The sequence below is a fragment of the Homo sapiens genome, chromosome 5, assembly GCF_000001405.40.
Source record: "Homo sapiens chromosome 5, GRCh38.p14 Primary Assembly".
Lineage (NCBI taxonomy): Eukaryota > Metazoa > Chordata > Mammalia > Primates > Hominidae > Homo > Homo sapiens.
In genome coordinates, this window is record NC_000005.10 from 151,838,160 (window position 1) to 151,853,781 (window position 15,622).

General features: G+C 39.5%; 1 protein-coding gene and 1 pseudogene across 4 annotated transcripts in view; one reads left to right on the forward strand and one right to left on the reverse strand.

Annotated features, from left to right (window-relative positions):
* Positions 1-15,622, reverse strand: part of GLRA1 (glycine receptor alpha 1) — a 102,339-nt gene that overhangs the window by 15,647 nt on the left and 71,070 nt on the right. For all 4 annotated transcript variants that reach the window (NM_001292000.2, NM_000171.4, NM_001146040.2 and 1 more), the window contains one exon: positions 13,231-13,445. In NM_001292000.2, the coding sequence (NP_001278929.1) occupies positions 13,231-13,445 (215 nt within the window). The remainder of the gene's footprint in view (positions 1-13,230; positions 13,446-15,622) is intronic.
* Positions 10,591-12,759, forward strand: GLULP1 (glutamate-ammonia ligase pseudogene 1; annotated as a pseudogene).

A 15,622-nucleotide genomic window follows, 5' to 3' on the forward strand; every position in this document is an offset into this window, starting at 1 on the left:
GAGCAGTGTCTCACCAAATATAGCATATTAATAAAGAGAAATGATAGCCTGTAATCCCAGCACTTTGGGAGGCTGAGGCAGGTAGATCACCTCAGGTCAGGAGTTTGAGACCAGCCTGGCCAACATGGTGAAACCTCGTCTCTACTAAAAATAGAAAAAATTAGCCAGGTGTGGTGGTGCATGCCTGTAATCCCAGCTACTCGGGAGGCTAAGATTGGAGAATTGCTTGAACACAGGAGGCAGAGATTGTAGTGAGCCGAGATCGTATCACCGCACTCTAGCCTGGGCAACAGAGTGAGAGTCCTTCTCAAAAAAAGAAATGATAAAGAAGAACCAAATAGAAATTCTGGAGTTGAAAAGTAAAATAACTGAAATGAAAACTTCACTAGATGGAATCAACAGTAGATTTAAGAAGACAGAAGAATCAGGAAACTTAAAGAAGAATCAGTGAATTTTAGATTATATGGTCTGAGGAACAGAATGAAGAAAAATAAACAGCCCCAGAAACCTGTGGGAAACCATGTAATGCACCAACATAATGTTTAATAGGAATTTGCAGTGGAGACAGAAAGAATATTTAAAAAAATAGTGCCTGAAAACTTATCAAATTTGATTAAAAATAGTAATCTATACATCTAAGAAGCACAGGGAAATCCAAGTAAGATAAAGAGATCCACACCTAGACACATCCTAATCAAAATGTCAGAAGACAAAGTCAGAATCTTTTTTTTTCAGATGGAGTCTCGCTCTGTTGCCCAGGCTAGAGTGCAGTGGCTAGATCTCTGCTACTGCAACCTCCACCTCCCAGGTTCAAGAAATTCTCCTGCAAAGGCAGAATCTTAAAACAGCAAAAGAGAAGCAACTCCTTTTGTACAAGGGATTCTTGATAAGATTAACAGTTGTATTCTCATTAACACCATCGGGTACAGAAGATAGTGGGATAACATTTTCAAAGTGCTGAAAGGAAAAGACTGCCAATTTTTCTCAAGAATTCTGTATCCCTTAAAAATGAAAAATACATTTTTAGGTAAACAAAAGCTGAGAGACTTCCGCTAGCAGATCTGTCCTACAAGAAATACTAAAGGACGCCCTTTAGGCTGAAATAAAAGGATGCTAGACAGTAACTCAAATTCATACGAAGAAATAAGGAGTATTAGTAAAGGTAACTGCATAGGTAAATATTCAAGACAATATAAAAAATGCAGTTTTTGTTTATAACTTTTTTCTCCTATCTGATTTAAAGGACAGTTGAGTAAATCAATGATTGTAAACCTGTGTTAATCAACATATAATGAAGATGTAATTTGTATGATAATAGTGCAAAGGAAGGGGGAGGTAATTGAGATATATATAGGAGCAAAGTTTTTTGCGTACTGTTTGTTATGAACTGAATATTTGTGTGCCCCTAGCATTTGTATGTTGAAGTCCTTACCCCCATTATGACTGTATTTGGAGACAGGGCCTATGAGGAAGTGATTAGGTTAGACTTAGGGTTAGGGTTAGGGTTAGATCTTAGAGGTGAGATCTTTAGGGTGAGATCTTACAGGTGGGGCCTTAATTCAATAGGATTTAGGGAAGAAGAGATACCAGAACTCTTTCTCTACCATGTTAGGACAAAGCAAGAAAGTGGTCATCTGCAAACCTGAAAAAGAACCTTCACCAGCAACTGAATTAGCTGCCACCTTGATTTTGGACTTCCCAGGTTTCAGAACTATGAAAAATAAATTTTTATTGTTTAAACCACCAAATCTGTGGCATTTCTTTTAGCAGTCCAAGTAAACTAAGACACTGTTGTAATTAAGTTAGTATTAATAATCTGAATTAGATGTTTCTAAAATAAGATGAAATTGTAATCCTCAGGGCAATCATGAAAAAAATAACTGGAAAAAAATAGTAAAAGAAATGACCAGGGAATTAAGATGACACGCTAGAAAATACTGTTTTTTTTTTTTTTGATAGTGTCTTGCTTTGTCACCCAGGCTGGAGTGCAGTGTTGCCAGCATGGCTCACTGCAGCCTCAATCTCCAAGGTTCAAGCAGTCCTCCCACCTCAGCCTCCCAAGTAGCTAGGACTACAGCTGTATGCCATTCCATCCAGCTAATTTTTTAAAAGTATTTTTTGTAAAGATGGGATTTCACCATGTTGCTCAGGCTGGTCTTGGACTACTGAGCTCAAGCAACCTACCTGCCTCAGCCTCCCAAAGTGCTGGAATTACAGGCATGAGCAACTGCACTCACAAAAATACATATTTAATGCAAAAAGGCAGTAACGGAGGAACAAAGACACAAAAAAGATAAGATATATATAGAAAACAACACAATGGCAGATGTAAATTATACGAAATCGCATTTTTTATTACATTAATTAAATTAAGTGGAAATAGACTAAACAAACTAATTGAAAGTTAGAGATTGTCAGACTGGATTAAAAAATAAAATGCAACTACATACTGTCTATAAAAGATACACTTTAGATTCAAAGACACAACTAGGATAAAAGTAGAAGAATGGAAAAAACATACCATGTAAACAGTAACCAAAAGAGGCCTTTAGGTGATTATACCAACATCAGAAAAAAAAAAAACCCACAAACAAACCAGTCTTTAAGAAAAAAAAATTGTTAATAAGAGATGAAGAGCATTTGATAATAAATGAGTCAATCCATCAAGAAATATAACAATTATAAACATCTATGCATCTAACAACAGAGCCCCAAAATATATGAAGCAAAACTGCCTGAATTGAAGCAATAAATAGATAATTCAACAATAATACTTGGTGTCTTCAAAACCCTGCTTTTTATAATGAATAGAATAATTAGAAGATTGCCAAGGAAATGAAAAACTTAATTGACACTGTAAACCAACTAGACCTAAAGAACACCTATAGAACACTCCACACAGTAACAGAAGAATGTACATTCTTCTGAAGTGCACCATGGAGTATTTTCAGAATAAACCATACTATTATGCATAAAACAAGTCTCAAACTTAAAATAGTTGAAATCATACAAAATATGTTTTCTGATTTCAATGGAATATTAAAAATCAATAACCAAAAGAAAGTTGGAAAACTCACAACAATAAATTAAACAATGCATCAAAGAATAAATAAAAGATATATTAAGGAATACTCTGAGGAGAATTGAAAACACAACATACTACAACTAATGAGATGCAGCTAAAATCATTTTTAGAGGGAAGTGTATAACTGTAAACACCTATTTTAAAAAGAAGAAAGGTCCTAAATCAATAACTTTGCACTTTAAGAAACTAGGAGGGCAAACTAAAGTCAAAGCAAGCAGAAGGAAGAAAATAATAAAGATTGGAATGGTAATAAGTAGAACAGTAGAAAAATAATAGAGAAAATCAATGAAACCAAATGTTGATTCTTTGAAAAAATTAGCAAAATTGAATAACTTCTAACTATACTGTTCAAGAAAAAATGAGGGAAGAATCAGATTACTAAAAGAGTGAAAGAGGAGGCATTATCATTGACTTTACAGAAATAAAAAGGATTATAAGGGAATACTTTGAACAACTGTATGCCAATAAATTTGATAACCTAAATGAGGTGGACAAATTCCTAAAAAGACACTGACCCAGAAAGAAATAGAGGCCATTCATGGTGGCTCATGCCTGTAATCCCAGCACTTTGGGAGGCCAAGACGGGTGGATCATCTGAGGTCAGGAGTTTGAGACCAGTCTGGCCAACATGGAGAAACCCCATCTCTACTAAAAATACAAAAATTAGCTGAGCGTGGTGGCGTGTGCCTGTAATCCCAGCTACTTGGGAGGCTGAGGCAGGAGAATTGCTTGAACCCAGGAGTTGGAGGTTGCCGTGAGCCGAGATCGTGCCACTGCACTCCAGCCTGGATGACAAGAGCAAAACTCCATCTAAAAAAAAAAAAAAAAAAAATAGAAACTTTGAATACACACATAACATGTAAGGAGATTGAATTAGTAATAAAAATTCGACAAAGAATTGTCCAGGACCAGATGGCTTCTTTCATTAATTCTACCAAACATTTAAAGAATTCACACAAATCCTTCTTATACTCTCAGAGAAGTGGAAGTGGATAGAACATTTCCCAACTCTTTCTAAGAAGCAAGTATTACCCTGATAACAACACCAAAGACATCACAATAAAGAAAACTACGTATCAACATCTCTTATGAATACAGACAAAAAAAAAAAACTCTCAGGAAAACACTAGCAAACCAAATCCAGTGACATGTGAAAAAGAATTATACGTTATGAGTAAGTGGGATGTATCCCAGGAATGCAATGTTAGTTGAACATACAAAAATCAGTCACCATATGAATAAAATAAAGGAAAAATATCACATGATCCTCTAAATAGATGCAGAAACAGGATTTGACAAAATTCAACAGCTTTCATGGTAAAAATACTCCACACATTAAGAATAGAAAACTTCCTCAAACTGTAAAGGGCATCTATGTAAAACCCACAGCTAACCTCAGTTTTCAGTGAAAAACTGAAAGCTTTCTCTGTAAGACCAGGAATGAGACAGGAATATCTGTTCTTACTACTTCTATTCTTCATTGTACTGGGAGATCTAGCCAGGGAAATTAGTTGAGAAAAAGAAATAAATGACATCTAGGTGAGAAAGAAAAAAATAAAGCCATCTCTATTTGTACATCACATGGTCTTGTATAAAGAAAATCCTAAGGATGTATAAAAGACCTAGAGTTAATAAATGAGTTCAGGAAAGTTATTGGATACAAGATGAACATACAAAAATCAATTGTATTTCTATAGACTAGAATGAATAATTTAAAAATTAAACTTAAAAACAATTCAATTTATATAGCATAAAAGAATATATCTGTACAACACCTGTTATATAATTTAACAAAATAAGTGCAAGACTTGTACACTGAAAACTAGAAATCTTTTTTGAAAGAAATTAAAGATGACCTAAATAAATGAGAAGAAATCCCATGTTGATGGAATTGGAAGACATAATATTGTTAAGATGGCAATACTCCCCTGATTGGTCCATGGAGTCAATGCATTCTTTATTAAAACTCCAGCTATTTTTTTCATTTCAAAAATTGACAAGCTGCTTCTAAATTTTTTTTTTTTTTTTTTTTTTGAGATGGAGTCTCACTCTCTCTCCCAGGCTGGAGTGCAATGGTGCGATCTCAGCTCACTGCAAGCTCTGCCTCCCGGGTTCACGCCATTCTCCTGCCTCAGCCTCCTGAGTAGCTGGGACTACAGGCACCTGCCACCATGCCTGGCTAATATTTTTGTATTTTTAGTAGAGACGAGGTTTCACCATGTTAGTCAGGATGGTCTAGATCTCCTGACCTTGTGATCTGCCCACCTCAGCCTCCCAAAGTGCTGGGATTACAGGTGTGAGCCACCATGCCTGGCCGCTGCTTCTAAAATTTATATTTGTGTTCAAATGAAAAAGACAGAGAGTAGCCAAAACAATCTTGAAAAAGTAGAACAAAATTGGAGGACTCACACTTCCAAATTTTAAAAATTACTCCAAAGCTACAGTAATCAAAACGGTGTGGTACTGACAAAAGGATCAACACATAGATCAATGCAATAGAATTGAGAGTCCAGAAGTAAGCCAGTCCATTTATAGGTCAGTTGATTTTTTTGACGAGGGTATCAATTCAACAGGGAAAAGAATACTCTTCTCAACAAATGGTGCTGGGACAACTGGATATTCACACGTGAAAGAATGAAGTTGGGCTGGGCACGGTGGCTCACACCTGTAATCCTAGCACTTTGGGAGGCCAAGGCAGGCAGATCACCTGGGGTCAGGAGTTTGAGACCAGCCTGGACAACATGGTGAAACCCCTTCTCTAGTAAAAATACAAAAATTAGCCAGGTGTGGTGGTGCATGCCTGTAATCCCAGCTACTGGGGAGGCTGAGGCAGAAGAATCGCTTGAACTCAGGAGGCGGAGGTTGCAGTGAGTCAAGATCATGCCACTGCACTCTAGCCTGGGTGACAGAGTGAGACTATGTCTTAAAAAAAAAAAATGAAGTTGGACCTCTTCCCTCACATCACATATATAAATAAATCTAAATGTGCCAAAGACCTAAACATAAGAGATAAACTATGAAACTCTTAGAAGAAAATACAGGTATTAATCTTCATGACCTTGGATTAGGCAATAGTTTCTAAAAAATGACACCAAGGCCAGGAGCAGTGGCTCACGCCTGTAATCCCAGCACTTTGGGAGGCTGAGGCAGGCAGATTGCTTGAGGTCAGAAGTTCGAGGCCAGGCTGGCCAACATGACAAAACCCCATCTCTACTAAAAATATAAAAATTAGCCAGGCATGGTGGTGCATGCCTGTAATTTCAGCTACTCGGGAGGCTGAGGCTGGAGAATCTCTTGCACCTGGGAGGGAGAGGTTACGGTGAGCTGAGATTGTGCCACTGCACTCCAGCCTGGGTGACAGAGTAGTACTCTATCTCAAAAAAAAAAAAAAAAAAAAGAAAAAGAAAAAAAAAGACACCAAAAGCGTAAGCAACAAAAGAAAAAACAGATAAATTAGACTTTATCAAAATTAAAAACTTTTGAGCATAAATGATACTATCAACCAAGTGAAAAGAAAACCCATAGAGTCTTAGTCCATTTTGTGTTACTTCAAAAGAATATCTAAGATGGGATAATTTATAAAGAAAAAATGGTTTATTTGGCTCACAATTCTGATGTCTGGAAAAGTTCAAGATTGGGCATCTGGTGAGGGCCTCAGGCTGCTTCCACTCATGGTAGAAAGTGAAGGGAAGCCATCATGTGCAGAGATCACATGGTGAGAGAGGAAGCAAGAAGTGGGTGGGAGACGCCAGGTTCTTTTTAAAAATCATTTTTTAAAATTTTATTTATTTTTAAATTTTATTTTAAGTCTTGGGATACATATGCAGAACATGCAGGTTTGTTACATAGGTGTATTACCTGTGGCCAGGCTCTTTTTAAACAATGAATATAGTGAGAAGTCACCCCTAAGAGAAGGCATTAATCTATTCATGAGGAATCCACTCCTATGATCCAAACACTTCCATTAGGACCCTTCTCCAATGTTGGGGATTAAATTTTAATACAAGGTTTGGAAGGGAAAAGAATCTAAACCACGGCACATAGAACAAGAGAAAATATGTGCAAATCCTATATCTAATAAAGGTCTAAAATCCAGAATACATAAAGAACTATTACAACTCAATAAGACAAATAACAAAAGTGAGCAAAAGATTTTAATAGTGAGTGGAGCAGAAATGCAGACATTTCACCAAAGAAGATACAGAAGGGATCAATAAGCACATGAAACAATGCTCAGCATTATTATTCGTTAGCAAAATGCAAATCAAAACCACAATGCAATACCATTTCACACCCACTAAATGGCTATAGTTAAAAAAAACAGATAATAATATATGTTTGTGAAGATGTGCAGACGTTGGAACCCTGGTGGGATCATAAAATGGTATAGCTGCTTTGGAAAACAGTTTGGCAGTTCCTCAAAAAGTTAAGCATGTAGTTAACATGTGACACAACAGTTTCACTTCTAGATATATACCTTTGAGAATTAAAAACATGTCCACACAAAAACTTGTACACAGATGTTCACAGCAGCATTATTTATAATAGCCAAAGTGAAAATAAACCAAATGCCTAACTGCTGAATGGATAACAAAATGTGATATATCTATACCATGGAATATTATTCAGCCATAAAAAGGAATGAAGTACTGATGCATTCTACAGCATGGATGAACCTTGAAAACATTACACTAAATGAAAGAAGCCAATCGTAAAAGGCCACATATTGTATGATTCCATTTATACGAGATGTCCAGAAAAGGCAAATTTATACAGGTAGTTAAGTATCCATTTATTGTTACCAGAGGCTCTTGGGAGTGGGGAATGAGGAGTGACTGTTGGAGGGTATGGATTTTCTTTCTGGGTGATGAAAATGTTCTGGAATTAGATACTATCTATAGGCAGTTGTATAGATAGGGTTGTACAACTTTGTGAATATACTAAAAGGAACTAAATCTAATGCTTAAAAAGGCAAATAAATAAAAAGTATGAATGAAGGGGAAGGTGGAGTTGAGTGTTAATAACATATGGAGCCAAATATTTTTAACCACAAATGCAGCAGAATGTTGAGTCTAGTGTAAACCATAGGTAGAGAAGAATGTGGCATCAACTATTAATAGTGAGTGGAGCAGAATGTTGAATCTAACATAAGGAAAAGAAAGCAGAACATTATGTCTGCTGCTACAATTGCACACAGCAGAATGTGTTGTCAGGTGTTAATAGTGATCAGAGAATGTGGATTCAAGCATTTGTAGTGAATGTAGCAGAATTTGAGGTCTAGTGTGAATGCTGCAGAGAGCATATTGTCGAGTTTTGTTCTAAGGGTGAATAGAGGAGAGTGTGGTGTCTACTGCTGATGGCAAATGAAACAGAATGTTGTGTCTCACGTTAAAAGTTAATGGAATAGTCAGTGTCATGAAAAACAAAAAACAGCTGGGAGACTGTTCTAGGTTAAAAGAGACAAAATAGAGCAACTGTGTGCAATATGAATTGGATCCTTGATTGGATCCCTCATCATATTTTCTGATGACTTTTTTGACAACTGGGAGAATTTAAATAAAGTTTCTGTATTAGATGATATTATTGAATTATTTCAAATTGAATTATTTCTAACTCAATAATAACCATTGAGTTAATGTTAATTTTTAAAGATGTGATAATGTCATTGTGATTCTCCTTCCTTATTTTGAGGTGAATTGCCATGTCTTTGTTGATTCAGCAAAAATTGCATCTACCTACCTACCTGCCCATCTATCTATCTATTTATCCATCTGTCTACCTAAACTAAGACAGTATATGTGGGAAAATGATGACTGGTGAATCTGGGTAAAGGGTGTGAGGGTGTTTATTGTATGTTCTTTCAACTTTTCTATATCAAAACAGAATGTTAAGCAGCATTAATTGGAAATGGTGCAAAACATTGTTTTTAGCAGAAGGCTAAAGGAAGCACAATGTGGTGTCTGGCATTAATAATAGAGCAGAATATTGTGTCTATTGTTGAGTGAATAGAGCAGAATGTGACTCAAACAATAATAGTGAATGTGGTAGAATGCAGCATGTAGCATTAAAAGAGAGTGAAGTAGAATGAAGTATCAAGTATTAATAGTGAAGGGAACAGAATGTTGTACCTCAACTAGGGGTGAATGGAGGAGTATATGGTGTCTAGCATTAACCGTAAGTGAAACGGAACATTATGTTTAGCGTTAAAACTGAATTAAGTAATCCCAGCACTTTGGGAGGCCAAGGTGGGTGGATCACGAGGTCAGGAGTTCAAGACCAGCCTGGCCAACATAGTGAAATCCCATCTCTACTAAAAATACAAACATTAGCCAGGCATGACGGCGCGTGCCTGTAGTCCCAGCTACCCGGGAGGCTGAGGCAGGAGAATCGCTTGAACCCGGGAGGTGGAGGGTGGAGGTTGCAGTGAGCCGAGATAGTGCCACTGCACTCCAGCTTGGGCAACGGAGTGAGACTTCGTCTCAAAAAAAAAAAAAAAGTGAATTAAGCAGAATGCAAGATCTAGTGTTGACAGTGAAGGGAACAGAAGGTTGTATTGATCGTAAGGGTGACTGAAAGAAAAATAGTGCCTGGTGTTAGTAATGAATGAAGTGAGATGCTCTGTCTGGTGTTAGAGGTGAATGGAACAGAATGTTGTGTCTAGCATAAGGGTGAATGGAGCAGAATGTGTATCTGACATTAATAGTGAATGGAGCAGAATGCTGTGTCTAGTGCTGATAGTGAATGAAGCAGAATATGGTTTAGGAGTTAACAGCAAATGTGGTGTTTAACACTAGAAATGTAAGTATCAAATTGAAGTGTGTCCAGAAAAGGGTTAACAAAACAGGCCTGAGGCTGCTATCTTAGAAAGGGCCTGCTTGCAAGGTTGCCTCTTGGATGGCATCTGGGAACTTGGATTTTGGGAGTATTCCTACTTTCCCTAACTGATAAGGCTGGCTCGCTGTGCCTAGATTGTACAAACAATCTGGTTCATGCTGAACAATCTGCTTTCCTTTTGGGAGTCTGGAATTTTGGCACATGCTAGGCAGAGGGTGCTGATGTGACCAGCCCCCAGTTAAAACATGGCACGCTGAGCCTCTAATGAATCTTAGAGCAGACTCTGTTTTTCTTTTTCTTTTTTTTTAGATGGAGTCTCACTCTGTTGCCCAGGCTGGAGTGCAGTGGCACCATCTTGGCTCACTGCAATCTCCGCCTCTCGGGTTCAGGTGATTCTCCTACCTCAGCCTCCTGAGTAGCTGGGATTACAAGCGCGGGCCACCATGCCTGACTAAGAGTTTCTGTGTTTCTGTCTTTTGGGGCAGAAACACAGCACACACGTGTCTGCATTGTTGTTGCTGGAGTAAGAGTGCATTCTGTGTGACCCCTCATGGGAGCGGGAGAGTAAGGAAGCCTGCACATGGATTCCTCTAGTCTCTGCCTATGTTCTTTCCCCCTGATGAGCTAGCTGTATCTTCTGAATATGTTGCTGTAATAAATCTTAGCTGTGGAGAGCTGAGAATGGGAGAAGAGCGGAGTGTGTGAGCAGCACGGCGGTCTCCTCTCCTCTCCTCTCCTCTCCTCACCTCACTCTCATGGCCTACCTTTACCCGCCCGCCTGCTCAGCGCCCAGAACACCTTCCACCATGACCGCCTCAGCACATTCCCACTTAAACAAAGGTATTAAGCAGGTGTACATGTCCCTGTCTCAGGGTGAGAAAGTCCAGGCCATGTATGTCTGGATCGATGGTACTGGAGAAGGATGGCGCTGCAAGACCCAGACTCTGGACAGTGAGCCCAACTGTGTGGAAGAGTTGCCTGAGTGGGATTTCTTTCTTTCTTTTCTTTCCTTTTTATTTCTTTTCTTTTCTTTCTTTCTTTCTTTCTTTCTTTCTTTCTTTCTTTCTTTCTTTCTTTTCTTTTCTTTTCTTTCTTTCTTTCTTTCTTTCTTTTCTTTCTTTTCTTTCTTTCCTTCCTTTCTTCCTTCCTTCCTTCCTTCCTTCCTTCCTTCCCTTCTTTCTTTCTCTCTCTCTCTCTTCCTTTCTTTCTCTCTCTTCTTTCTTTCTTTCCCTCCCTCCCTCCCTTTCTCTCTCTCTCCCCCTTCCTTCCATCCTTCCTTCCTTCCTTTCTTCCTTTCGTTTCCTTTCCTTTCCTTTCCTTTCCTTTCCTTTCCTTTCCTTTCCTTTCCTTTCCTTTCCTTTCCTTTCCTTTCCTTTCCTTCCTTCCTTCCTTCCTTCCTTCCTTCCTTCCTTCCTTTCTTTTCTTTCTTTCTTTCTTTCTTTTTTTCTTTCTTTCTTTCTGTCCTCTCTCTCTCTTTCTTTCTTTTCTTTCTGATGGAGTTTTCACTCTTGTTGCCCAGGCTGGAGTGCAATGGCATGATTTCAGCTCATTGCAACCTCGGCCTGCCAGGTTCAAGCGATTCTCCTGCCTCAGCCTCACGAGTAGCTAGGATTACAGGTGTGTGTGACTACGCCCAGCTAATTTTTTGTATTTTTAGTAGAGACGTGGTTTCACTATGTTGGCCAGGCTGGTCTCCAACTCCTGACCTCAGGTGATCCAACTGCCTTGGCCTCCCAGAGTCCTGGGATTACAGGCATGAGCCACCATGCCTAGCCTAGAATTTTGATGGCTCTAGTATTTTACAGTCTGAAGGCTCCAACAGTGACATGCATTTCATGCCTCCTGCCATGTTTTGGGATACCTTCAGTAAGGACCCTACAAGCTGGTGTTCTGTGAAGTTTTCGAGTACAACCGAAAGCCTGCAGTGACCAATTTGAGGCACACTTGTAAGTGGATAATGGACATGGTGAGCAACCAGCACCCTGGTTTGGCATGGAGCAGGAATATACCCTCATGGGGACAGATGGGTACCACTTTGGTTGGCCTTCCAATGGCTTCCCAGGACCCCAGGGTCCATATTACTGCAGTGTGGGAGCAGGCAAAGCCCATGGCAGGGACATCGTGGAGGCCCATTACCAGGCCTGCTTGTATGCTGGAGCCAAGATGGTGGGTACTAATGCTGAGGTCATGCCTGCCCAGTGGGAATTTCAAACCGGACCCTGTGAAAGAATCAGCATGGGAGATCATTTCTGGGTGGGCTGTTTCATTTTGCATCATGTATGTGAAGACTTTGGAGTGATAGCAACCTTTGATCCCAAGCCCATTCCTGGGAACAGGAAGTGTTCAGGCTGCCATACCAACTTCAGCACCAAGGCCATGTGGGAGGAGAATGGTCTGAAGTACACTGAGGAGGCCATCGAGAAACTAAGCAGTGGCACCAGTACCACATCCACGCTTATGATCCCAAGGGAGGCCTGGACAAAGCCCAACACCTAGCTGGATTCCATGAAACCTCCAACATCAACGACTTTTCTGCTGGTGTAGCCAATCGTAGTGCCAACATACACATTCCCTGGACTGTTGGCCAGGAGAAGAAGGGTTACTTTGAAGACTGTTGCCCCTCTGCCACTGCGAACCCTTTTCGGTGACAGAAGCCCTCATCAACACGTGTCTTCTCAATGAAACCGGCAATGAGCCCTTCCAGTACAAAAACTAAGTGGACAAGACCTCCAGCCGTCGAGCCCCTCCTAGTTCTTCATCCCACTCCAACTCTTCCCCCTCTCCCAATTGTCCCAATTGCAACTCAAAGGGTGGAATATAAAGGTCTTTTTTTAATTCAAAAAATTAAAAAATAAATAAATCTTAGCTGCAAATACAACTTTATGCTGAGTCCTATGAATCTTTCTATCAAATCTCTAGATATGAGATTAGTGTTGGAGATCCCTGACACACAGTATTTACTATTAATGGTGAAAAGAGCAGAATATTGTACTTAGCCCTAAAAGTGAATGGAGGAGAATGTGAAGTTGAGTGTTAATAGTAAATGAAGCAGAATGTGTGTCTGGTGTTGGTAGACAGTGGAGCAGAATGTGGTGTCTGGCAACTCGTATTGAACATAATGTTGAGTCTGGTGGAAGGTTTGATGGATCAGAAAAGTGTAGAACCTGCAAAGATCTGCAGGATCCTGCAAAGTATAGTAGATAAATAAGTAGTGAATAATTCCTTTGCTCCCCATGTTTTAGGCAGAGCAAGGAAGTAGGTGCTGTCCTTATTTGTCCAGGTGTTCTGTGCTCTTGGGCAATGGGACTTACCTTGGGCAGAGATGCTCGAGAGCCGGAGCTCTGGGTGGTCATGGTGAGCACAGTGGTGATGCCTAGGCCCACACGAGCAGGTGCAGCATCCATGTTGATCCAGAAGGAGATCCATGAGAGGATGACAATGAGCAGGCTGGGAATATACATCTGAATCAGGTAGTAACCCATCTGCCGCTCCAGGTGGAACCGGGCCTCAATGCAGGTGAATTTACCTGCAAGAAATTGCAGTGAGAAGGCAGTGTAGCCTGGTGAATAGGACAAAAGGCTTTAGGATTAGAACAACCTCGGCTAGAGTCCTGGTTCAGTCTCACACTACCTGTGTCCTTAGACAAGTATTTGAATTGTTCTGTATCTGTTTCCTTATGTATAGTAAACTGGGGATAATAACAATAATACCTCCATCATATAGTTACTTATATGATTAATGTGAGGATAAAATGAGATGATGCTTATGAAAAACTTAGCAGTCCTCATACATTGTAAATGTTCAGAATTGTCAATTGCCAACATCACTGTTACCATCATCATCATCATCATCATCATCAATATTTTCTTGCTAAGAATGGGCCTGACTAAGTAGAACTTTCTCTACCTTTCTGCCAGTTATCTTCCCAAAACATGACTTGTTCCTGTTATTTCCTCTTGTAAAACCTTTGGTCTCATCCTTCTTTCCTCATACAAGGCAGTTCCCATTACCTACAGGAAAAAGTTTAAACTCTTTAGCCTGCCCTTTATAATCAAGCTCTAACCAGTCTTTCTATCCCCTTCCCCATCTTTCTTCACCCTAATCATGACTCCCTATATGCCATCCCTTGCCTTGAGCATGCCCTGAACTTTCATGTTTCTGAGCTTTTGATCTTGCTCATCCCTTTGCCCAGAATGCCCTTGTTCCTTCCCACAACCAGCCAAATAAATCTTCCTTCTCCTCCATGGCAGTGTAAATGTGAAGATTCTCCCAGACAGAATGCTGCTCTTTTTCTGTGTTCCCTGAGCCCTGTTCACATGATCATGAGAGCCTTCAAGATATAATACAGTGAGTGAATGGGCAAGTCAGTCTCTCTTTCTATCTGTCTTCTGCACTAGACTAGGCAGCTTGTCTGCTCCCTGTCTGTGTATCCCTGGAACTGGGATGGGGCCAGTCTTATGGTGGGATCTTAGTTCCTGTCTACTGAAGCACAATAGCGAATTTCCTGGAGTTCCCTGGACTGTAAGCTGTAGGCAGGGACTTGTCAGTCTTTTCTTCTTGCATCCATAGGGTCTAGCACAGAGTTCAGCTCTAACTTAAATGAAAATGGTGAAGAGCAAGTGAAATGAATCAGAATATGCTGTGTACATTTAGGTTGTTTCCATATCTTGGCTATTGTGAATATTACTGCAGTGAACATGGGAGTGCAGATATGTCTTTGAGGTACTGATTTCATTTCCTTTGGATATGTATCTAGAAGTGGGATTGCTGGACCATGATATATTTCTCAATGGATGAATAGATAAAGAAAATGAAACATTATTCAGCCTTAAAAAAGAAGGAAATTCTGCCATTTATGACAATGTGAATGAAGATGGAGGACATTTTTATATTAAGTGAAATAAGCCAGACACAGAAAGACATATATTGTATGATCTCACTTATATGTGGAATCTAAAATAGTCATACTTACAGAAGCCAAAAGTAGCATGGTGGTTGCTAGAGGCTGAGGGATGGGGGAAATTGGGAGATGTTGGTCAAAGGGTACAGAATTTCAGTTGTGCAAGATGAATAAGTTCTGGAGATCTAATGTACAGCAATGTGACTAGAATTAACAGTGCTGTCCTGTGTGCTTGAAATTTGCTAAGAGGATAGATCTCCTTTTTACTTATTTTTTTTTCTTTTTTGAGATAGAGTCTTGCTCTGTCATCCAGGCTGGAGTGCAGTGGCGTGATCTCAGCTCACTGCAGCCTCTGTCTCCTGGGTTCAAGGGATCTCCTGTCTCAGTCTCCAAAGTAGCTGGGATTACAGGTATGTGCCACCATGCCCAACTAATTTTTTTTTTTTTTTGTATTTTCAGTAGAGACAGGGTTTCACCATGTTGGTTAGGCTGGTCTAAAACTCCTGGCCTCAAGTCATCCACCCGCCTTGACCTCCCAAAGTGCTGGGATTACAGGCATGAGCCACCATGCCTGGCCTTTTTTTTCTTTTTCTTACATTTTAAGAGTTTTTAAATATATTTTGAATATTTGACCCCATCAGATTTATGATTTGCAAGTATTTTCTCCCATTCTGTGGGTTCTTTATCTTCACTATCTTGATAGTGTCTTTTGATGCACTTTTAATATTTATGAAGTCAAATCTATCTATTGTTTTTTCATTATTGCTTGTGTTTTTGGTGTTATATCTAGGAATCTATTGCCA